This window comes from Homo sapiens, chromosome 6 (genome assembly GCF_000001405.40).
Source record: "Homo sapiens chromosome 6, GRCh38.p14 Primary Assembly".
In the NCBI taxonomy this organism is placed as follows: Eukaryota; Metazoa; Chordata; class Mammalia; order Primates; family Hominidae; genus Homo; species Homo sapiens.
The window spans coordinates 65,590,172-65,616,775 of record NC_000006.12 but is presented as its reverse complement, the minus strand read 5'-3'; the positions used below and the strand labels follow the sequence as shown (position 1 = coordinate 65,616,775).

The following is a 26,604-nucleotide window of genomic DNA, read 5'->3' as shown; positions in this document are numbered from 1 at the left end:
TGTCACTCTGTCACCAGGCTGGAGTGCAGTGGCGTTATCTCGGCTCACTGCAACCTTGACCTCCCGGGTTCAAGCTATTCTCCTGCCTCAGCCTTCCGAGTAGCTAGGAGTACAGGCACGTGCCACCACACCCAGCAAATTTTTGTATTTTTAGTAGACACGGGGTTTCACCATTTTGGCCAGGATGGTCTCAATCTCTTGACCTCGTGATCCACCCACCTCGGCCTCCCAAAGTGCTAGGATTACAGGTGTGATCCACTGCGCCCGGCCTAAAGATTTACTTCTTAAAACATATAGGAAAATAATGCCATATTAAATTCTCTGGTTCAATAAAATTAGTCTTAAAATTGGTCTAACTTGTGGGTTTGTTGTTTGAAGCAAACAAGGTTGATTAACACATTAATTGTCTTAAACAGTGATTTGATTATTTGCAAGAGTAATGAATTTCTAGAGAGTGAACAAATAATTTTGAGTGAATTAAAACAAACTCAGAAAACTTAAACACAAGAATTAGTGAAGAAACTCACAGAGCAGAAACATTTTATATGACTATTAACACTAGAAAAATGTCATTACATCAGAATAAATGAGTAAAACATGTGGAATAAAAGCTGGCTTTAAAAATTGGATATCAGCCTTCCATTATACTAAAATATATAATTTAATAAAATTAATTACTTAAAACTGAAAAACTGTAAGAGTAAATGTTTAATGCTTGATGCTAATGCATTAACATGTTCTTCTAACTCTTGATACAATTTTGTGTCAAGAAGTTCACATCAAATTAATTTGTGTTCATACTATTTGATAATTTTTTTTTCTTTCTTTTTTTTTTCTTTTTTGAGATGGAGTCTCGCTCTCTCGCCCAGGCTGGAGTGCAGTGGTGCGATCTCAGCTCACTGCATGCTCCGCCTCCTGGCCTCACGCCATTCTCTCGCCTCAGCCTCCCAAGTAGCTGGGACTGCAGGCGCCCGCCACCACGACCGGCTAATTTTTTGTATTTTTAGTAGAGACAGGGTTTCACCGTGTTAGCCAGGTTGACTTTGATCTCCTGACCTCATGATCTGCCCGCCTTGGCCTCCCAAAGTGCTGGGATTACAGGCGTGAGCCACCGCACCTGGCTGAGAACTTTTTTTGCTAAGTAACCATATCTGAGAAGTATTCGTGTAGATGCCCTGGGGGAAAACATACTTTAAAAATCAAATATATATATCTGGTCTCAAGAAAACATAATATTTAAAAAATTAAAAATCATATTATCCAAAAGACAGTAAAAATGTGGCACAGTAAACATCATTTAGCTTTGTGTCTACATAGATAATATATAGAGTACATATATATGTACTAAATATATATATTTATATATACACACACATATATATATATATAAATAAATAAAATGAACTCGGTTTTGAATATTCGGATAACTGGGATGAATTATTTTCCTCAGAGTATTCATTTAAATTGGCCAATGCTCATTTAATACCCACTACTTGCCAGTCTTGTTCAAAAGATGAAAACTGCAAAGTACCCTAAACTTTGTCTCAAGCAAGGTATTGATCAATAGTAATGTAGATGTAAAATTAAAAATGAAAGGACAAAGTAATTTGCAAAGTATTTTAAAATAATTATTCGAATTCAATTAACCTACTTGCAGACAAGTTACTAAGCAACATTTTTCAGATTTTTGAAATAGCAAACACGATGATTGAATTTCGCCTTTTGGTATGTTCTAGAAAGTTTTGTTTGATTCTGCACAGTGTAGCAGTAAGCTAGTGGTTTTGAATAGATAATGAACAATGAGAACATACCTCTCATCTTTTGCAAGGACTAGCCTTTGTAGTGTGTATACATGCACACACAAACATGCATGTATGTGTTTATGTCTATAACTTTATTGATAATCTTTAAAGATTACTACAGAATATGCATAGATTGTATTTGAATATTTACAGATTTTATTTAAAAGGCTGGCATATAAATGCAGGCTGAGAAGTATTTCATTAACCATTTTGCCTCTAGAGGATTTAAGAATAATGACAAATAAAAAACAAATACTGTCATTTATTTGCTGTAATTGATGCAACCACTTTCTCTATCTAATAATATAAATGTTTTTCTTGCCAAGTAGATTAAACCTATGTAGATCCATTTTAAGTACACCTAGTTCATTCTTATGCATTTTATAACAAATGTACATTTTGTGGAGACAACTGGTCATCTATGGGGAACATGGTTTATTGTACTTTCTTCTGAGTCATGACATTCATTGGACTACATCCAACATATATATAATTTTTTAATGCAACATATTCTGGATCCTTTCACAGGCATAGATATTGCTAGGTGGTGAACTTTTCTGGAGATATCCATACATATTACCATTTTTACCAAATATACGGACATTAAATGAATTAAAGCTTTGACCCCAGACAACAAGATTCTTTAATTAGGGTGTAATTGTTAACTAGTCCTGTGTATTTTGGTGAAGTACAGTGTAGCAAGAGTAATTTTTATATGGTAGTCTAAATTTTCAGCATCTCACCATCTGTTTGGGGGTCCATATCTCCAAAAACACTCATAATGTGCATTTGTATAGATTTCAGATTTAGTTATGAAATGTGTAGTTATTATCTGTGAAATAATATAAACCTAAAGATAATGGAAAATGAAATAAGTGAAATTTAAAGACACGTCGTATTGTATATCCCATGTGCCTGGCACTTTGTGAATAATTAAATTTTGTACTAATCATGGACACCATGTTGCCTGTAGTAACTAAATTGCTTCTTTTTCAGTTGTTTAAGAAAAGTATGCAAAAGTTTCCAACTTTATTAATTTAGGCTCTTTTATTTCATAATCTAAATAAATATTTTTACCTAATAACCATAAACCATCCATATGAAAAACATAAAAAAATTAGGTTTGAAGTTATCAAAGTAGGAAATCATATTACAAATGAAAACATATATTATGTGAAGACCGAGGTAGTGTGTTTTTAATCACTTTATCATAATTCATCATAATTGAAAAAAGTCAATACTCAGTTAAACGAATTGCCTGGATCCTTACATTCTGTTGTACACATGGCTTACATTCAAGACAAAGTTATCTGCTAACTTTTAGTACCTGTAAAAACTACCCTAAATCATGTAAACCCATTTACTTGTGTACATATTTAAATAAATTCTGTTTGGCTGGCAATCAGATCATGTATTTGAATTGCTGCTAATGCTCACACACAGAATATTTCAGGGTCCATTTCTTTCTTTCTTTTCCACTTAAAAATGATCTTACCCAGTGTACCAGACTGAAAATTATACTTCAAATTCAGATTTCCCACACTGCAGATGTTTTTCCTTTTTATGTTCATAATTACTATGATGAACAGTGAATTATTGACAAGATTGCTTGAAGAATATTCATAGAAAGGATTCAACTAGGTCTCTCACCTTATCCATGGAGAAGTCACCACCGTATTAAATAATAAAATTAATTTAGTCAACAAATATACCAATATTCTGAACATCTATTGTATTCCAGACACCTCTAATTTAATATATTGATTTCTCCAACACTAAATAATGTGATTTTGCATGTACTGTTATATTCATAAGAAAGACAAGAAAATTAAAGTTATAAGACAGACGTGTATATCTGTGCAATGGAAATAGTTGAAGCAAAAACCATCTATAAACTGAGATGCCTCTGTAGCTGTTTCATTTACAGAGACTTCTGGGGTGGTTAGAAAAAAGTTAATTTAAGTTTTAAGATTGTTATTTTCTTTATATATTTATCTTGTTTACACAGTAATGCTCAAGAAAAATTCATACCTAAACAGCCTTCATATTTTTGATAAAATTGATGAAATTCTAACCAGAAAAAGTAAAATAAGTAAAAAAAACAAAATACTTAAAAGGAGGGAAAATATGATGAGCAATTCTATTTTTTCCCAATCAACTAATATAAACTATCTTAATTTAAATTTAATCACTTGCTTTTTTAAGTTATAATAAATAACATACCAGAATAAAGATTAATAACATTCTATAAAATATATGAAAAGAAAACTTCTATGATTAATACTGTAGAATGAGTGATTATGTAATACCAATATCCACAATGTATTTTAATTAAATGATATTAACATTTCATATTGTAGAATGTTTAGTTGTTGCTTAGTTAACTCAGCAATAGAAATATTTAAAATAAAGTATTATTTTTCCAGAGGGTTAGGAATTTGTTCATGAGAATATTTCTATTCCATAATGCAGTTAATAAATACAATTTAGTTTATAGCTTGCAAGAATTAGTTTAGTCAGTGCATAATAAATTTAGTATCACCTAATTTAATCAGTTCATGGTAAATTTAGTACCTGTGTTTTTCTTTAAGCAGTAATCAGATAGATGGACCAAACAACAATCCGAATCAGTATCAAGGAAGTTCAATTCATCATATTTCATGAGCTCTGAATTATCTTTTGATTAAAATAGTAATACCCAGGATTATATGTCATACATAATAAATATATATGATATATACATATACACATATATATCATATATATACATATATATACAGGGTTTACATTCAAAGACACATGCCAATCCAAGCACCGTTATATTAATTGTTTTAACATCCTGTTAGCTGTCTAAAATGCTGGCTATGTCTAAATAATTTAATATATTTTTATACCATTATGAGTGTTCTTTTGGACTTTGCTAGTGAAATTGTTAAGATAATAAGTATTGTTAGGGCCATTTTAAATGGCTTATATATGCAAATAATGTTTTCTATATTACTAGATAAATTTTGAGAAATGTGACAAGTTTAAAGCAAATGTCTACTTTGCACTTTAGACTTTATTCTTCTGTTGATATACCTTTTGAGCAATGTTTCCTAAGCTTGGCTCAAGAATAGAACTTCTTGGGGATCTTTTAACGATCCTGATGATGAGGCAACATCCTAGGCCAATTAAGCCAGAAGTAGTGGGTTTGAGGCCCTTTTATTAGTATTTTTTAAAGCTCTATGGGAAATTGCTGTGTGCAGCCAATGTCAGAGAACTGTACTGTAAAGGTATAGAAATCTTGCGATAAATCGCAAATGCCATACTATTACAACTTTATGTGTACTAATAGGACATTTAAACAGATTGGAATTTGTAAATATAATATTTAACTGTCTCTGATCAATCAATATAATTTTTACAATAAAATAATTTTAATTCGAAATCTTTTCAGTCTTTTTCTGCTTGTCATGACTTAGGGCTTTAAGGAATTTATCTATAAAAAGAAAACTAAACATAAAACTAAGAAAATTAGGATTTCATGAGAAAACAAGAAATAGTCTTTCTTATATACCCATATTATATTCATACTGAAGGTATACTTTATACTGACTTTTCAAATAATTTATTTATGTTCTTAGAGTTTCACCAAAACTGGTTGGAAGCATGCTGCTTAAAGTTTTAAATTGCAATTATACAGAAAATGAACTTATGTAGGTTGAATTCTCTCAGTTCTTCATCATAATCAGTGAAGAAGACATGCATATACCAAGGAAGGGTAGCCAAGAAGAAAGGAAGCTTTTTTTTTTTCAATATTCTAATTATACCCACACGGTTATTTGATTCAAAAAATAAAAGAGAAAAGTGTGGAATAAAAAGTATGTATTATTTCCTGGGCATTAATTTATTAAATTATCAAGCCAAAACTAATAGTGCCCTTTGGGTCAACAGGCCATTTAAGCATTTAGTTAAATTTATATGAGTACATTGCCTGAAAGATAATTGTAATCGTATAAAATGATTCAGTTCAATGATTCCAGTGTGGCATAAAGATAATGAATCTTTTGTATCATTCATCCTGGGAATATTAACATTATTGAGTCCTATGACTACTAATGAGCTTTTTGCTAGGAAAAAGAATCAGTTACACAGAGAGATATTTTGATCATTATAAACACGATATTTTAAAAAGTAATTAGTATGCTTGTGAGTAAATAGCAGAATTAGAATTGGCTTTGATCATAAGGAAGCTGAATATTGCAAGCATCATATCATCCTGTGAAAATTAATCCGTTAATAAAACTAGAAAAGTTATAGAAGTTTTAAATAAAGTACAGTTAGGAAGACTTTGAAATATTGTCAGAGACAGAGGACATGTGTCAAATTTGAATAGAATAATTTGCTTTATATATAGGATGTTCCCCTGTAGTTATGGCACATAGGTTAGAATATTTGCAATGAAAAAATGCACCTTTTGACAAAGGTTCTGCAGCTCCAGAAACCTAAAAGTATCATAATAGGAAAATATAAACATAAAAATGTATCTAAATGATGGAACAAAATTTATCTGCGTATCCTTTTCTGCCCTCACCAATTTAGATTTCATTGTTAGCAATTAATGACTAATGAAGATAAATAATCCCTATGAGTTTGAGGTCATGCAAATCTGAGTAGACAAACTCTGATATGTTAAGAATAGTTAAAAAAGGGGGAAAAAAAGAACAACACAATACAAAGAAACCAAAAAAGAAAAACCACCAACAAATAAGGAATAGTTTAATAGGCCGGGCATGGCAGCTCATATTTGTAATCCCAGTGTTTTGGGAGTCTAAGGGGAAAGGTTCACTTGTGGCCTGAGTTTGCTTCAAGTCTGGACAACTTAGTAAGATACTGTCTCTACAAAAAATAAAAAAAATGAAAAAACTAGCCAGGCGTGGTGGCATGCACCTGTAGTCCCAACTGCTAGGGAGGCTGATTCGAAAGGATACTTGAGCCCAGGAGTTCAAGGCTGCAATGACCTAAAATTGCACCATTGCATTCCAGCCTGGGCTGGATATTTTTATAACCAGTGTGTGAACTATATCTCAAAAGGTGAAACACAATGCATTCAAAAAGATAAGTGTAGACACATGATATGTGGCCTATATATTTTTAGTGGCATAACAATTTAGTTTTATGTAACTTGCTTATGAACATGATACATATTCATATTATGCATTTGATTCAGAGGATTAAATGTATTTAGAATAGCTTTGGAGAAACTGATTGTTTAAAGAACTTTTTGTCATTGGTTTTGTCTGCAAAGAAATATGAACTTGAATTTCCATGTTAGATATCTGATAAAGAGTGAATGTAAAATATGATATTATAATACACTGCCAGGTGGCAATTCAAACCTTTCAAATGTGAGATAATGCAATAAAGGAAATAAAAAGTGATATTCAGTGTAAGTGAAATTATATTATACTGAATGAGAATCTCCTTTTAAGATGATTTGCAATTGTGATGATATTTTTCTCATCTAGAAAAAGGAGAGTCAGCTAAGTATTAGGAGTAACAAGGGTACATTCTCTATTTTAAAAGATTCATGTAATTTTAAAATTAAATTTTATACAGTTCTTACAATGTTAGTATTAGATTTTTTTTTTTTTTGGCTATCTTGGATACGTACAGTTGTACACCAGGTAAAGTTGTTTCAGTCAAGGATGGACCACATATACTAAGGTGGTCCTATAAGATAATAATAGAGCTGGAAAATTCCTATCTCTTAGTGGTGGTAGTCATGGTAATGTAGTAGTGCAATGCATTAGTCACATGCTTGTGGTGATGATGGTGAAAACAAACCTACTGCTCTGCCAGTCATACAAAAAATATAAGCAAATATAATTATGTGCTACTTTATAATAAAAGATTATGTTATTGATTTGTGTATTTACTATACTATGTTTTTAATCATTATTTTAGATTGTATTCTTTCTACTTATTAAAAAAGATTTAACTGTGAAACAGCCTCAGGTAGGCCTTTCAGGAGGTATTCCAGAAGAAGGCATTATTATCATAGGAGATAACAGCTCCATGTGTGTTATTTCCTCTGAAGACCTTTCTGTGGGACAAAATGTGGAGGTGAAGGGCAGTGATATTGATGATCTTGACACTTTGTAGGCATAGACTAATATGTGTGTTTGTATCTTAGTTTTTAACAAGAAAGTTTAGAAACTACAAACGAAAATAAATCTTTTAAAATTTTTATAAAAAGCTTATATAGTAAGGATATAAAGGAAAAAGCTTCTATAATAGGGATATAAAGCAAGAACATATTTTTTACGGTTGTGGAATGTTTTTGTGTTTTAACCTAAGTGTTATTACAGAAAAGTCAAAGAGTAAATAAAAAGTAAATAAACCTAAAATGTTATGGTGAGTTAATTTATCATTGAAAAAATGAAATATATTTTTAGTAAATGTAGTGTAGCCTAAGTGTACAGTGTTTATAAAGTGTACACTGTTTATAAAGTGTACAGTGTTTGTGAAGTATACAATAGTGTAACATCCTAGGCCTCCACATTCACTCAGCACTCACTCACTGACTCACCCAGAGCAACTTTCAGTCCTGCAAATTCTATTTGTGGCAAGTGCCCTATACAGTGTACCATTTTAAGTCTTTTAAACTGTATTTTTACCATACCTTTTCCTGTTTAAATATATTGAAATACTTACCATGTGATACAGTTGTCTCCAGTATTCTGTACAGTAGTACCTCATACAGGTTTGTAGCCTAGGAGCAATAGGCTATAGCATATAGTCTAGGTGTGTAGGAGGCTATCCCATTTAGGTTTCTGTAAGTACACTCTGTGATGTTCACACAATAACAAAATTGCCTAATGATACATTTCTCAGAATGTATCCTCATAATTAAGTGACACTTATCTATATCATTCTAAAGATTGCTGAATGTGTTTCCTCCACAAAATCAAGAATTTTTAAGAGTGGAATATATTCTTATTCTTTAGCAAGATAAAGATAAAAATATAAGAATATGAAATTATAATTTTAGAGTGTTTTGCTTTTGCTGCTTTCTCACATTCCAGGGAAAGCTAATTTGCTTTTCTCTGCAGAGATTGACACATAAGATGAAATGTAATTTTCTAACAATTGTATTTTCCAACTAAACAATAAGAGTGGCATTTTATTTCTGTGAATATCAATTCTGAAAGGAGAAAATTCTGCATAATGTATGTGTGTGGTTTTAAATATAATTTATTTTCACTCCATTCTGTTCGCTGAGATAATGGACTTTAAAGCACAAATTTTGTTTGGCCATATTAAAACATTAATTATCTCAGATAACTGCATATTTGAAGGTACGCAAAATAAATTTAAGATGAGTTTGATTAAACATACTTCTTAAAAATAAAAGTATTTATTTTTCAAAAAGTAATTAAAAGAAGCAGTAATATCATAGGGCGACTCTTATAAAAAGTACTATTTTAATAAACAGACAAAAATAAATAGAAGGCGTGAGGAAAGTTACAGCAGGAATCTTATTAATTGTATTGGTTCTGTTACAATGAAATTTGCAGAAAAGTTGTCAAGAGCACAAAGGGTAAAAAACTTGAGAAAGAATAACTTTAGAGAGAAGTTACTATGGTTTCTGTCAGATGTGACAGTATTTTTTTTTAAGTGAATACAGAGGAAAATAAATATTTTGCCTTGCCAATTTTGTGCAGAGTGCCAACCTTTATGACAAACTAAAAATGTGATCCAGGGTGAAATCTCATAAATGAGATTCTGGAGGCAAGTTTGAATATCACTGATGCCTGATAGCTAATTAATTAAATTGCAAGTGGTTGAGAGAGAATTTAAAGTTCCCTCAAAACATTAACTTCAAAAGTTTCACAAGAAATTATCACAATATCTAAATTAAGCATATTTGCTGAGATCATTTTTATTAGTTATTCAGTTTTCATAAATAAATATCCAATATCTCATTCCCATTCTTAGATTAGATTTTTGTATATTCTACTCACTCCTGCTTAAGACATTATATCCCATTATTATTTCTTCATTCATTAAAATAACTAGTAAATTCAAAATTGCAAAAAAAAAATACTTTGGAAGAGACTAATTCAACTCAGATATTAGAAAAAAGTAAACTGGTAAACTTCTCTTTTTTACTTATATCTGTCTGTGGTTAGATTTCTAGCTTTAAGATTGTTTAATTCATGTTTAGATGCAGAAGGATAGTCAAGCTGATTAAAATTTTGAGTCAATAACTTTAACTTTTACTTTTCATTTAAGTAATTTTAAATGTATTAAATTGTTCAGATGTTGTAAAGCCAGTTGTATTTGTTATAGAATTTCAGTTTTCCGTATTTTGAGTTGTGCATCATCCTGAAGGCTAAGAGTAATTAATTACGATTGTCATTGTCCAAAATTGATCTAATCAGGGCAGAATGGTGCGACATTCAAAGGAGATTTCATTTCTTCTTTGAACTCATGAATGATGATATAATCTAAATGTTATTTATAATCCTTTTCAAAAAAACAAAATTCAAATTTATCTTAGAATTTCATTTTACGAAAATGGTATTTTATTTATACAAACTCGTATGCTTTCTTTAGGCAATTAGAATTACATTTTAAATACATTTTAGTATGGCTTGGAATATGTAGTAAGTAAATATAAAGCAATAAATAGTTTTACTTTGATGTGATCATTTCACATTTGTGTGTATAGAATATTAATGTACATTTAGAGTGGTTAAACATATTTTTAAAACTATTTTTGAATACTGGTTGTAAATATGTGGAAGGTAAGGAATACTTATTCTCTATATTTCTTATTCTCTGTGTTTCCTAGAGACTACCATTTTGTCATGTAAATAAATATTGTTTTTAAAAATTTGCGACTATTGGTAGTTTTTAACTGTAAGAACTCAGTACTTTAAGAATATTAATTATTCATTATATCTGATGTGAAATATTTCCTCAAGTTTTTATCTGTAAATGTTTATTTTTACTTTTCAAACTACTGAAATGTGTAAAAGGAAATGTATAAAAGGAAAGTAAACATTGACCACAATATAGCATTTCCAGAGATAGCAAATTTTATTTTATTCTACATTTTCAGACGTTTATTCTTTTATGCATACAATCATATATAAATATATACACACATACACACACATATTTATTCAACATAATTTTTCATAGCTTGCCTTTTTCACTCAAAAAAGTGTGGCTATCTTTTTATGTCCATAAATATAAATCTATATCAGTGCTTACAATACAATAAAAAATTTTAATCATATTATTTATACCAAATGTATTTAATCAAATAATTTTGCTAAATATGTATGTTATATACTTTCAATTTGATAACTATAAACTTATGGATATATATCTTTGCATCCAGTCTTTCAATGTTTTATGAAAATACATTTCTAAAATTTGAATTGCTGAATCAAAGGTAATGTCATTAAATTTATTAGACATATATTCAAAAGGAGTATTTCTAAAAGGCTGTACAAATTTATATGCACGTGGACATTGTATATAATTCTCAACACCCTCACACTCAAAAACCTTGTGTATTATAATTTATTTTCTTCTTTCAAGACATAATAGAATAAATATCAATTTAATTTTAATTTATAAATGTGATCGACAATGAAGTTATGCATTATTTTCATTTTTTTCACTTGTGTGTTTATTTTAAATTTTTTGTTGATACCATTCATGTCAATGCAATTTTTAATTGGTATTCAATTGCATTATATTATTTATTAGAAATCATCCTGTAGAAATTTTTCAACATTTTATTATGAAAATTTCAAATGTGCAGTGAAAGCCAGTATGGTGACTCATGCCTGTAATCTCAGCAATTTGGGAGGCCAAGGCAGGAGGATTGCTTGAGTCCAGGAGTTCAAGACCAGCCTGGGAAAAATAGTGAGACCCCCGTCTCTACAAAAAAAAAAAAAAATAGCTGGGCATGGTCGGCCATATGTTTAGTCCCAACTATTCAGGAAACTAAGGTGGGAGACTAGCTTAAGCCTGGGAAATTGAGGCTGCAGTGAGTCATGATTGTGCCACTGCACTCCAGCCTATGTGACAGAGCAAGACCCTGTCTCAAAAAAAAAAAAAAAAAAAGGGGGCAGTGAATTTAAAGGTCTTTTACAATGAACATCATTGATCTACCACCTAGATTCTAACACTAATATTTATTTAAACTCGTGGCACAAACAATCCATATTTCCTTCATCCTATCCATACATTATTCTACCTTATTTTTGGATGCAATTTAAAATACTTTGCAGGAATCAGCGTACTTTCGCTTAAATACCTTATTATTACTATCATTAACTAGAGTTCAAATTTATTTATTTTAATGTAAAATTTACATATAATAAAATGCACAAACCTTAAGTGTACATTCCAAATTTTGACAAATATATAAACATGTATAACCTACACCTTGGTATTTTAGTACTCATGTGGATAGTTTGTATTTCATGGCTTTACTTTTCCCTTTTCTCTTTTGAACTCTTTAATGTGTTTCCATGTGAATTTTTAAACGTAATTAATCGTGTGAATTTTCCCTTTTATGTATTCTGGGTTTTGAGTCTTCCCTAGAATTGCCCGCACATCAACATTGTAAAATTACTTATTATTAGTCTTCTGGTATCTAATTCAAATGTGATCGGAAGTTGAATGAAATTCCTCCTGTTTTATAGCAAAGTTGAGAGAAATAATAAATAATTACCAACATCAACTCCCTCCCATATTTAAAAAAGAGGGCAGAACAAACACATTGTTCATGAGTATTAATCAAAACAGAGCTAATTCCAACCAAACTATGTAAGAGAAAACTGGAAATCTCCTGGTATTTGTTGAGAGGAGACTTTGAGGACATAATAAGTCAGTATTCCTATTTTTTCCGCATCTATTGCTTAAAAAGTACAGTTTGAAAATAATTCACATATAAGTACCTGAAAAGAAAAAAGAAGTCATTCAAATCAAGGAAAAAAATCTAAAACATGAACAAAGATAAAGTTTACAGGTAACATTCTGTATGACAATTTTTCTACTTGCTGTTTGAAACAAACAAAAAAAACATGAGCAGTTTTATTTTTAAATGTGAAAAATCAAGGAAGTACCCCAAACAATCATAACCTGCTAGTATAATTTATACAACAGGTTATGCTCAGAAATTTCTTTGAAAGCACTGAGGGAAAAAAAGGAATAGAAACCTAAAATGTTTTTGTCTTATTTAAAAGATTTTTCATAATGCTCATTAAGAAAGCTCTGGGGTTTACAAAAAACAGATAATAAAGCTCAAGTTTAAAATGAACAGAAGAGTACTTATGTAGGACCTCTTCAGTGTGATATGTATTATAAAGTGTTTCCAGGTTAATGTATTAAGCTTCTATTATTTTCATTTCAAAATAGATTGCCTTCTCAGGTAACAGGGGGTTCAAAGAAATATTAATAGATGGAATTATAAAACTATCTTTCTTCAGAAAAAATGTAAGCAATTTATGAAGGCAAATTGTAGTTTTCATTCACCAAAGTTAGGACCTCATACACCTTACAGAGATATTATCCCAATTGACAAATGACCATCATTCACTTCTAAATCTCAAGTCCATGGTCCATTACTCTGTGAATCTTTTTTGTTTTTGAATATAGTTAGAATTCACCTCTCTTTCATTGGTGATCCACTTACCCATTGCCAATTACACTAGGATTCCTGTAGCTCTAAGTTATATGCATGTGTTTATTTGTCTGTCTCTTTCAGATGGGCTGTGAGCCTCTAAAGCAGGAAGTGGTGTATCATTCTGTTATTTGAACTTTAGAGTCTTGAATGCTACTTATTCTTTGAATAGATAAGGGACTTAAATACAGGAATGGAAAAGAAGATTATTTAGAGTATTTGTATCAAGTGTATCCACATTTCTGAATCTCAGTTACTATCACCCTAAACCCAATCAAAACCATCCCTTACCGAACCTGCTTCAATGCTTACAATCAGTCTACTACTTTACCTTAGTCATTCTCCTAAATATTTGAGTGGAGCAAAGGCTACTCTGACAGACTGTTAGGACAACAAATGTAAATTAAAACTGTCTTAGGCAAACTTAAAAGTGTGTCACGCCATGGAGTTATCACTTCAAAAAGGCTTCCCTGTCTCTTCCCTACAATGGGCCTTCACACATTATTCTGTATCACATCACTCTTTCATTCAGATATTTACAACCTGTGCTTCCCCTGTTGACTTGTGTGAAGAAGAGTTTACTGCCTGCTTAACCACAAACTGCAAATGTCACAAAAATAGTTTTTGTCTTTTTTATTTAATATACAAAACATGAGCACAAGTACCACAAAGGCCAGCATTTAGAATGTTTTTGTTTATTCATGTGTTCTTGCTTCCAAGAACAGTGTCTGGCATATTTCAAAGCTCAATAAATATTTGTGGAAAGAATGGATAAATATTTTTCCATAGCATAAGATGCATGTGGAGAAAACATTTGTGGAATTATACATTATTTAATTCATTAATGTTTATGTTTATTTAAAAGCCTCAACTAATCAAATTTAGTAAAAAATTAAATTTCATGAGCAAAACATGTTTTTATAACTCAACTTGAGCTTGTGTTATACATTTTTACATGTATTACATGTGTTTCTATTATAACCCAATAACTTTAATGATGAGAGTTCTAAACTATAGTTTCACATTTATAATTTATACTAGTAGACATACTTTTGTGTACATCTTGTTGAATCAGTGACTCACTACTTAATTTTAAGTTTTGGAGGAATGGAAAATATAAAACATTGACAAGATACTTTAAATTGTTGAACTTCCCCAAGAAACATGTAATTATATCCTTAAAAATATCCATTCAATTTGATAACAAAATTATGCATCCACACTGCGAAAGACCCAGACCAATGAGAAATTAGATATCTGGATGTTTTTGTCATGCTTTGTTACATAGGCTGTAACAATAAAGCTATTTTTATTTTCTTCATACCAACATTATAAGCCCACTATGAAAGCAAAATACAACAGATAAATAGGTATTTGTGTTTAATTAACCAAAAATTTGAAACTAATTATATGTTTTGATATTTCTATTTACAAAGTTTAAAAACTGCCACTATTTCCCACACTATTATTCTCAAAGTTGGCATGTTATTACTTTTAATTGGTCAAGAAAGAAAAATGTCTCACACTTGACATTTTCCCACAAATTCACTTCTTGAAACAGCTGCAGTTTTACTAATCTGTGTTTCGAGAAAAATTAACAAGCAGTTCTATTTTTATTTCATGGAGAAATTCATTTTGAGCTATTATTCCATCTTAGATCTCTAGTATTTGATAGGCTTACAGTGGAAAAGGTTAATATTGTTTTCTGGATAGAATTAGCATCCATCAGATGCATTGATTGACAGGACCCATTTCTTATTATCGATATTTTGAGATATTCACAAAAATCACTGCAAGAGGCAGAATAAACTGTTCTCTTATTGGTGCTGGTATCTCTGTGGGGGAAAAAAAAGCATAATTGACTGTAGCCATGGGGATTCAGACAATTGTATGGGGACTGATAAGAGGGATTTATACAAGGTTTCATATTTCTAATCTCATATGGTTTCTTTGTAGACATTATTAGACTTATTGTTTTGCTATTGTTATAATTTTTTCCAGATGAAAAGATATGGCTAATGTATGTTCCTATGGAATTAAAACTACTCTCAAATTAACCTTAATGTATTTAATCTTAATGTATTTAGGCTATGCTTGAAAGGAAAGCACTAATAAACTTGCTTCCATGAAACAATATAAATGCCCCTATGTAAGCTACCTAATTTTAAACTGGAGTATGAATCTATAAATTCTGCATTACTTAACTTTAGTATTCATAATAAGCAACGTGTATTTAGATATATTTTGAATCTATCATGATACATAAATGATAGTTTTAAAAGGAAATAATAACTCATATAAAGAAATAGACATGGAAACTAAGTGACATGAGTTGTACTAAAATCCCAGTATCATTGTTTTCTTTGCAAAACAGATATACTGACGGCTTACCTAAAACAATAGGGAAAGGAATTCCATAGAATAGCCCATGAGGGTAGATAGTACTACCGAGAAAATTGCCACTTTTGTTTTGATTACTATGTGTCCTATATATATCTTTGTCAAAGTCATATTTTAGAAACAAATTTCATGCAACTAACATAATTATATAACTACTAAAAATTTTTATGTTTTAATTTTGAAATCAGAGGTACAATTTCAATACACAGTACTTATTTTCCTGATTGGGATTTGGCGGTACCACAAAATGCACGTAAATTACCAGGAACTTGTTTTCGTGTTCACGAGGGGACATTATGCTTTCATCATTTGCATTTCTGAGTACCTCCCTATGTTGTTGTATAGCTTTCATTTGCTTGAGAATAAGGATGGAGGGAATATAAAGATGATGTCAGAGATAATACTTAATAGTTGACATTTAATTTAGGATTATATAAGAATATAAGAGCCATCCTTATCCATGAGGTATGTTACATATATTGAAGGAATAACAATGAGGAGAAAACTCTTGCCCATAGTCCAGGAGTCTGGGATGAGGTTCTTCTTGAAGGTTTACTTGAATCACTAGGGGCTCAGCTATAATTACTTAGCAATGCAACAGGTCAGGGAGAAAAGGCCCTATGTTGTAGCCTTTTGGAACCACCCTGGGTTCCAGAGTTACAATAGGACTCAGAATTTACCAAGAGGCTGCTGGGAGAACTGTATGAAGTCAGAGGTCTTTGCACAAAAGGTTAGGAATCACTACCTGCTATCCCCAGATGAAGGAAAATGAAATTATAGTGAGAGCTCATAAGTGACAGGTGCAGTGGAAGCTGAGGTGAACCTTCCACTTGATGAAGATCACTTGATCACATGATCACTTTTACATGCTTTCTAAGCTGAGAGACTCACACTCGATACAGAATCAGCAGTGATCACTAGCAGATGTCAACAGCACATAACCAATTCTGTGCCAACAGCACATAACCAATTCTTTGGAAACCGTAGAAATCTGAGGACATAGCACTCAAGGTATTTGTTTGTTTGCTTCCCCTACCACCATGAAACCTTATAAAATAAGTTCCATTTATCCCCCCAACCCCTTCCCTATGAATAGGCACTATCTTAAGGAGACAAAAACTAAGAAGGAAAGGTGTCTGGGAGACTAAACATTTTTACCTAGAAGACACTGTATATCTATCTACATTGGACTAAATTTTTATCTGAATAAACATTTCATATTTTTTAATGCTAAAAATGGGTAGAATCTTCTAAATTTAATAGAAACATAAAATTTATATTTTTCTGAACATCTAGTAATAAGAGCTGTTCTTTTAAACCTGCTATAAACAACAGAGTTTGAATCATTAAGTTCACAAAGATGGATCAAGGACCAGGGGCATCTACAAGTCAATGAAGTAAGAGAAAAAGATAATACAAAGTCTTGGACCTGACGGTTGGGATAGCAAGATGAAGAACATAACCTCTGTGAATCTTCTGGATCAGCCAATAGAGATAAATGTGGGCCCAAACTCACATAAAAATAAACAAGCAAAGGAAGAAATCCTCTGGGTCCATGTGTTTCCAAATGGAGAGTCCAGAAGAGATATACAGTTTACCGTTGAACAACATGGTTTGAACTAGGCAGATCCATTTATATGCAGATTTTTTTCAATAATTACAGTTGGCCATCACTATAGGTGGGTTCCTCATTCACATTCATCTGCCAAAATCAGATAGAAACATAGTATTTGCAGGAAGCTAAATCCGCATATATGGAAGGCCAACATTTTTTGTCCATGATTTCCACAAGGCTGACTGCGGGACTTGAGTATGCATGGATTTTGGTATATGCGGGCAGTCCTGAACCCAATCCCCTGAGGATACTGAGGGATGATTGTATAGATATAGATATATAAATATAGATATAGATATATACACCACACACCTGTTCTAAGTGATGCATGTATTAATACACTCAATTTAAGTGATGACCCTAACTCATACTATTACTACTCCCTTTGATTACAGTTGTGGAAAATGAGGCAAAGAGGTTAAATAATACGTTCAAGGATAAAGACTTAGTAAGTGACAGAGCGAAAATTTGAACTGAGATAGTTTGGCTCCAGCTACTGTGTCCTGACTACCATAACACTATTTCTCTTGCTCCAGATTTTGGTCCAATGGACAATGTACTGGAAAGCCTGTAGTCTACTCAAGTATGGAACAGAAACCAGGATGTAATTTCCACAAAGGAGCTCTGAGAAACAGCTGAGATATAATTTAAAATTTCTCTGAAATAAAGTATGTTGGCAAATGGAGTAAAAAAGGTATATATGAATTATGTTTTTGGTGAGCTATCCAGATCATTCTGCTGCATGTAGGCAACACATCAATGCAGATATTGTGTGATTACTTGGTTCATATGCTTTGTTTGATTGGCTATACTCCAGGTGATGCTGGATGGCATAAATATTGGTTAAAAATCATTGAATTATATCTTCAAGAAGTAGCCTAAAGTTATTCTCTCTGTGTGTGCCCTTAGAAAATCCAAAACTCATTGAAAATAGTATATCAGTTTTCCTGATAAAAGAGAAAAAAAAGAAGGAAGTACTAAATACCAGGAGAGAAAAGTTTTTGTTTTTTTTTTTGGGGGGGGGGTGGGTGGGGAGGAGGGTCTTCTCAATAACAGAAATCTATTACTACCACCCTGTGGTAGAAAATTTTGCATTTAGCAGTGAGGACTTAAAAATAGAGTTTGTTTGTTTGTTTGTTTGTTTTGTTTTGTTTTGTTTTTGTTTTGACAAGGTTTCGTTCTGTTGCCAGGTTTAGAGTGCAGTGGCCGGATCACAGCTCACTGCAGCCTTGACTTCCCAGGCTCAAATGATCCTCCCACCTCAGCTTCCTGAGCAGCTGAGACTACAGGTGCATGCCACCATGTCCAGTTAACTTTTTTATTTCAGTTGAGACAGGGTTTTCCCATGTTGCCCATGCTGGTTTCGAACTACTGAGCTCGAGTGATCTGCCCGCCTTGACCTCCCAAAGTATTGGGATTACAGGTGTGAGCCACTGCGCTTGGCCATTTTTGCCAGTCTATGATTATTTCAGTACCTTCCACCTGAATGGAAGCTGCACAGATACCAGCTTTCAAGGAACCTAAATAAGGTCTTGGATAATGTTGATATTAGCCGCAGTCATGACAGATTATTCTTGAGTGGAGGGTCCTTCCTTTGATCCTGTGTGCTGTTATAGAAGCCTCCAGACTTCTGAAGTGACCTTGCATTGAGATGCTGGTAGAAAGATGAAGAGAAATAAATCATTATTTGATGCAAGGCTACAATTGAAAATAATATATGCATGTAGCTAATACTTTCCAACTTACAGTTTGGGGGTGTCTATCCATTCATTCATCAGTAATTTCTTAGTAAAAGCCTGCACTGTCAGTACTGTACTTAGTACTGGGAGTACACTGGGAGTGGCTAAAGGTGGTTCCTGCTTTCTTGTAGCTTACTGTGAACTCTTTGAATTATGATACTTAAGAGTGTTCCTCATTTATTGTTCCATGGAACATTACTCTGGGCGAGGCTAATTGTTTAGCCTTCACAAAAATCTCAATGCTCAAATGAAGGTAGGAAATGCTGTTTCTTGGTTCACTCTTAGAGATTAATCGTGCGTATTAGTAATTTAAAGCACAGGAGAGCCCTACAATTAACAAGCCTGTCTAACCAGCATTTTTTTCTCAAACTTATTTGAGCAGGAATCATTTTTAAAAATATTATAACTGCTTATATATTATTAGGTAAAATACCAGTTTGGGATGCAGTGGTCTCTAATATAATGTTCATATGCATTAGTATGTTTTGAACTTCTGATCCTTTGTGAATCTGTATCAAATTTGAGTTACTTCGGTTCTCTGGCTTCTCTCTTTGTTGAAAGCAGAAGCTCATCATTCTAATGATGTCCTTGAAGGACTATCATTTCCCTAATTAATGACTTGGTTCTGTTAGAACTACTGAAACAAAAATCTTATCATCCCACTAAATACTTAGAATAAGATATTAACAATGCTTTTTCATCCATATCAATTTTAAATGCTTTGTTATCCAAATCAATTTTTATAATTGTAATGAATATTTCTAGTTTTATAAATAAAAAGTAAGAAAATGATGTACCATTCCTTATTTTTTTGTGGAAAGCCTACTGACATATTTGGCATTAATAAGGAGAATTATCAAGCACCTTTACTTAAAAAAAAAAATTCTTCCTGCATTTAACCTAGAATATGCTGTGGAGAATTGGTCTGTGACAGAAGCCTCACTGTACATGAAAACCAGTAATTCATAGTGCCTGCTCCTGTCTTTCATTTCAGGATTCATATTGGTCACATTTTTGTTATCTGCACATATGTTGCATTTACATAAAAATCACATCTTTCCCAATATTCAGTAATGTAGGCCTTTGTTTTTATTTGGTTCTAGCTGCATACATATCTATCTGTTTGAAGTTTATGTGAAGATTCCAAAATGAATTCACATATATCACATAACCAAAATATAATTATTAGTTATCTATTGCTGCATAAAAATTTATCCCCAAATGAAGTGTCTTAAGAAAAAACTTATCTCACAATTGTGAATGTAGTTCAGTTTTGTTCCTCTGGCTCAAGGTCTCTAAGGACACCGAAGTGAATCAGCTTATCCAAGATGTTATTTAGCCACAGTCATCTTAAAGCTGAATTGGAAGATAATCCACCCCAAAACTTGTCAAAGGGACTGACAGTAGGCCTCAAAAGACGCTCTTTCACACTCACTCATGTAGCTATAGGCAGGCCTCAGAATTTTACCGGCTGTTGATGAGAGATATCAATTCATCTTCAGATGGACCTCTCTCCTCATAGGGGTGCTCGCAATAGGCTGTTTTTCCACTGAGATAGGGGGTTGAAGAGAGAAATAGCAACACTCAGAGCTCAAGGCTGAAGATACTTTCTTTTTATAACTTAATCTCAAAAGTAATATCCCATTATTTCTGATATTTTCCATTCATTAAAAACAAGTCTTTAAATCCAATCCAGACTCAACAGTAGGAATACCAAGAGTCAGAGATCATTGGCGGTCACCTTAGAAGCTGCCTACCACACCCATATTCTGTATTTGGTGAAAAGACAGTGATGTCGCAATTCTAGACTGTTTTCTCTCTTACATTTCCCAAAGAGATAAACCGTTATTTAACTAAACTGATTTTTTTTTTTTTGAGATAAAAGAGCTGTTTTATTGACGCTTTATGTCCTAGGTATTTTACATGCATTAACTCCTTAGATTCCAAATGGTCCTGTGAAGTAAGTACCATTATCTGAATTTACAGATAAGGAAAGTGAAGCTTGTGGAGGTCATTGGCTTAAGGTTATGTGAATGATGGATTTTTTTTTTTTTTAATTATACTTTAAGTTCTAGGGTACATGTGCACAACGTGCAGGTTTGTTACATATGTATACATGTTCCATGTTGGTGTGCTGCACCCATTAACTTGTCATTTACATTAGGTATATCTCCTAATGCTATCCCTCCCCTGTCCACCTACCACACAACAGGACCCAGTGTGTGATATTCCCCTTGCTGTGTCCATGTGTTCTCATTGTTCAGTTCCCACCTATGAGTGAGAACATGTGGTGTTTGGTTTTTTGTTCTTGCGATAGTTTGCTGAGAATGATGGTTTCCAGCTTCATCCATGTCCCTACAAAGGACATGAACTCATCGTTTTTTTATGGCTGAATAGTATTCCATGGTGTATATGTGCCACATTTTCTTAATCCAGTTTATCAAACTATACTACAAGGCTACACTAACCAAAACAGCATGGTACTGGTACCAAAACAGAGATACAGACCAATGGAACAGAACAGAGCCCTCAGAAATAATACCACACATCTACAACCACCTGATCTTTGGCAAACCTGACCAAAACAAGAAATGGGGAAAGGATTCCCTATTTAATAAATGGTGCTGGGAAAACTGGCTAGCCATATGTAGAAAGCTGAAACTGGATCCCTTCCTTACACCTTATACAAAAATTAGTTCAAGATGGATTAAAGACTTAAATGTTAGACCTAAAACCATAAAAACCCTAGAAGAAAACCTAGGCAATACCATTCAGGACATAGGCATGGGCAAGGACTTCATGTCTAAAACACCAAAAGCAATGGCAACAAAAGCCAAAGTTGACAAAGGGAATCTAATTAAACCAAAGAGCTTCTGCACAGCAAAAGAAACTACCATCAGAATGAACAGGCAACCTACAGAATGGGAGAAAATTTTTGCAATCTACTCATCTGATAAACTGATATTTTTTAAGAACGTCAGGCTAAGAGATATTAAATAAGACAGACACAAATATATATAAAAAAAGGAAAATGTCTCTACTGCAAAGTAATGTAACTAAGTTTGAATCATAGATATACAAATTCAATTTAATTCAATTCAGTAAATAATAGTTTACTACTGTTTGAGAAAACTATTATTAAATCCTGTACAGGATACAAAATGAAAAAGAAAAACGCCATGGTTTTAACTATGGGTTTTTGTTCAGGCTCATCTGCTTATTGGTTGGGTGACTGAAACAAGTTGCTTACAGCAATAAGTGTTCTCATCTCACAGGGATATTGTGAGGTGAAAATGAAATAAAGCATATACAACCATGTAACTATGTAAAGTTCTTAGCATTATGCCTAGCACATGGTAATCACACAGTAAATAATAATAATAATGATCATAATGATAATAGTAAAGTAAGCAATAACCTAACACTTGCCAGAGCTGTTCTAATTGCTATATAACTATCAACTCATTATTTTGTTATTATTAGTGAAGCACCATGCTGCTCTGGGGTTGTATCATGTCTATGCTACCTAACAGCTGACTGATTTTTAGTCAAGTTATTTGACCTTCTCTATGCTCCAAGTTCCTTGTTTGTGAAATGAAGATAGCAATAGTGCTGTAGACTCAGTATTGGAAAAGTTTTTTGGAACAATACCTGGTACATTCTATGTGTTAATTAATTTTTAATGCAAAATATTATTGCATTATAATTATAAAGTAAAATAATCATAATACCTGACAGAAACACTTCCTAAAGAGAAGGACAAAATATAATTAGAGTACTAATGACCTCTTTGTAAGGTATATGGGGAGAATAAAAAAATAATATCGTGGGAAATACATGAATTTGCTATGGGAGAGTAAGTAGAAAAATTGAATTTTAAGAATAGACTTTATTTGTTTAGGTTTCTTACCTCTTAAGAGTAGTTTTCAATAGTGTATGCATATGAGAGACACCTTGAAACTTTTCAAACTCTAAACATTCTGGCCCCATCCAATTATAACTTAAATGTTCTGAGGTGGGCTGTCAGCTTTCATGTATTTACTATTTCAAGGTGATTCTAATATGTAGTGGTATTAAAAGCCCATGCCCTAAGGCATTGATTTTCAACTCTTAGCTTGCACCAGTTTCGCCCGAAGTATCAGAAGAAAAACAGAGAAGTAATAAAATATTATAGAGAAGCAAAAAGTCTCCATTTGATCTTCTAATATGAATAATATTTTGTTTCTGAAGAATATGGTTTTTTCCATTTATGTTTAACAAATGTCCTATACTACTCAACTATGTAAAGATAGCTGAATAGGAGTTTGTTTTAAAAGACAGTTTTGGAAAGACAGATGACATTTATGTCTAGAAATGTTACATAAGAATTTCTTAATAAGGTGCATCTTTAATGGTTACGCATCAGAGACCAAAAACAAAGGATTTACTGGACTGTACATTGAAATAATTTATGCTCTTCCCTAGCCCACCTAGGGGTAATGCTGAATTATTAGTGATTTATTTACATATTATCTTCAACATTGACTCCTATTGCTGGAGTTACTGGAAACAGGAGGCAGAATTAAAGATGGTTCTCATGCTGTTGTCCATAATGTTGTGCTATGTGGTAGAGAAGGATGCTACGTGCAGGAATCACAAAAGAATAAAGCCAATGTTAAGTTTCATTCATTTTAATTATAAACATGTTGTACTGCTCAATGACATTAGGAAAGGGATTTTAATAAAACCAACCATTCTTCTTAGTTTTATTTCTCCTGCTCCCACAGATAAATTTTAAGGATATGTGTAGTTTAATTTTAAACTGTGTTTAATGCAATGAAGTAGTGGTGCATCATGGCAGGGCCTCAAGCATTTGAGTTAAGCTCCTTTTTTAGAACTGGATACCTAGTTATGACTATAGTTTCCTCATGTCTAAATGAGAATAGTGGCGTTTACCCCTCTGGGTGGTTGTGAGGGTTACATAAGATAGCATATGTCAATCACTTATCCTATACCTGCTCATGATAAATGTTAGCTGTGAGTTTTGTTGTTATCTTCATCCTGTATTTCAGTTGTTTATTTATTTCAAGTAAATAAAATGCAATAAAACAGGAAACTTTGAAATATAGTAATAAAATATCTGTTTCATAAAAGTTACCAGATGTTAAATATTAAAACTTGAATTCAATGCATAATTTGTAAATATCTAACATATATAAAATTCAGTTATATACTATATTATAATTTGGCAACTTCTAACTTAACTAAATCCAAAATTAATCAATCAAATTAAGTTGCCTTTTACTCTGAATGCTGTTAGAATAATTGATAAAGGCTTTTTTTAAAGTTATGAAAATGTTCATTTTTTAGAAAACTTTAAATTAACTATGAAAAGTGAAAGCTATAGAATAGAAATGTGTTTTGAAAAAATGATCAAAATTAGTGAATATTAAGATGAACATACAAATTGATACAATGATGCTAAGTATGATTAGCCTAGAAATACCATTTTCAAAATAGTTGATTATAAGTTACTGCAGTTATCCATCACATGCTTTTGTGTATCTATTATGTTCTCATCATAGCACTGTGCTTGCCTGTGACAAGATATGTCAGAGATAATGACACATGGTGCTTGTCTTTAGGTAGCATATGGCTTAATGGTGGATACAGAAATGCCTTATTAAATATAAAAAATAATTTAATTTTCAATTTTGTTAAGAATAAAAAGAGTTAAGAATGCAAATTATGAGAGAGTATATAAGTCCAGGACCCAGAGGTTTTCCAACGCAAAGGCATGTCAAGTGATAGCTGAAGAATCAGTAGTACATAACCAGGCAAAAATCAGGGGAAAGATTATTCCAGACAGAGAGAATGGTGACATGCATATAATGTGTGGGTGAATATAACAAAAGAGGTTAAATTAGTAAATTCAGAAGAAATTTTTGCATTATTAGGAGCTTCAAAAAGTGAGTCAGAGATTTAGTCTAAAAAGGCAAGAAAATAAACCAAGAACTAGAAAGAGAAAGAGAAAAGATAATATCTAGAACTATGAAATGGGTTGTTTTCTTTTAAATGTATTGTGTTTACTGTAATTCCAAGGACCTTCCCAATATGTTCCTTACATTATGGAAAGGCATTATGAGAAACACACACAGGCACACACATATATATACACATACACACACACACACAGATTAAGTATATAGTAAGTAGCTACTTGGGAGGCTGAGGGGGGAGGATTGATTGAGATGGAGTCAGGGCTGCAATAAGCTGTGATGGCACCACTGTATTCCAGCCTGGGTGACAGAGTGAGACCCTGTCTCAAAACAAGCAAACAAACCACTGTAAAATACCATCTCACCTCACCTTCAATGGCTATTATCAAAAGACAAAAAATAACAAATGTTGGAGAGGCCATGTGGTGAGAAAGGGGAACCTTCACACACTGTTGGTGGGAATGTAAATTAGTGCAGCCATTTTGGAAAAAAGTATGGAGATCCCTCAAATAATTAAAAATTGAACTTTAGTATGATATAGCAATCCCAGCACTGGGTATATATTCACAGGAAATGAAATAAATATGATGAAGAAATATCTGAACTCTTATGTTTATTGTAGCACTATTCACAATAGCCAAGTTATGGAATCTAAGTGTCCATCAACTGAAGAATGGATAAAAAAAAAAAGTGGTATATTTACCCAATGTAATATTATGCAGCCATAAAAAAAAAACATTAAAATTCTGTTTTTTGAGGCAACACGAAATTGCCTGGAGGACAATATGTTAAGTGAAACAAGCCAGGCATAGAAAGACAAATACCACGTGATCTCATAAACGGAATCTTCAAAAGTTGATCTTCTAGAAGTAAAGAGTAGAATAGTTGCTAGCAGAGGCCTAGAGGGATTTGGGAGTGGGGGAATAAGAAGTTGTCCAGTGGGTACAAAGTTACAGTGAGATAGCAAGAATAATGTTTAGTGTTCTGTTGTACAGTCAAGTGACTATAGTTAACAATAATATAGTGTATATTTTTAAATAGGTAGAAAAGAGAATTTGGAATGTTCTCACCACAAAGAAATGATAAATATTTGAGGTTATAGATATGCTAGTTACCCTAATAATTACATATTTTATACATGTATTGAAACATCACACTGTATCCCATAAATATGTATAAATATTACGTGTCAGTTAAAAATTTAAAAAGAAAAAGTTTTGTGTTGATATGTCTATGTGTATTGTAGGCAGCAGGATATTCTGCTTCAGGTTGATGGAGCCTCTACCATCTGTTGCACATTGCTTCATTGGGTACTGTGGTAGTGGAAGAAAGAACTAGAAGGTTCCATGCTACCCTTTCCTGGCTTTTGCCTATA

General features: G+C 32.3%; 1 protein-coding gene across 3 annotated transcripts in view, besides 1 other annotated feature; it reads left to right on the top strand.

The window, feature by feature from the left end:
• EYS (eyes shut homolog) overlaps window positions 1-26,604 on the top strand; it is a 1,987,247-nt gene that overhangs the window by 90,451 nt on the left and 1,870,192 nt on the right. The gene's annotated exons all lie outside the window — the stretch shown is intronic.
• Window positions 2,592-2,761: an enhancer, noted in NCBI's record as "experimental_93128 CRE fragment used in MPRA reporter constructs". NCBI's record gives its function as "activates a minimal promoter by MPRAs in K562 erythroleukemia cells, with activity observed for both the introgressed and non-introgressed 6:66323993 variant alleles {active_cell/tissue: K562}" and the evidence as "EXISTENCE:reporter gene assay evidence [ECO:0000049][PMID:34662402]".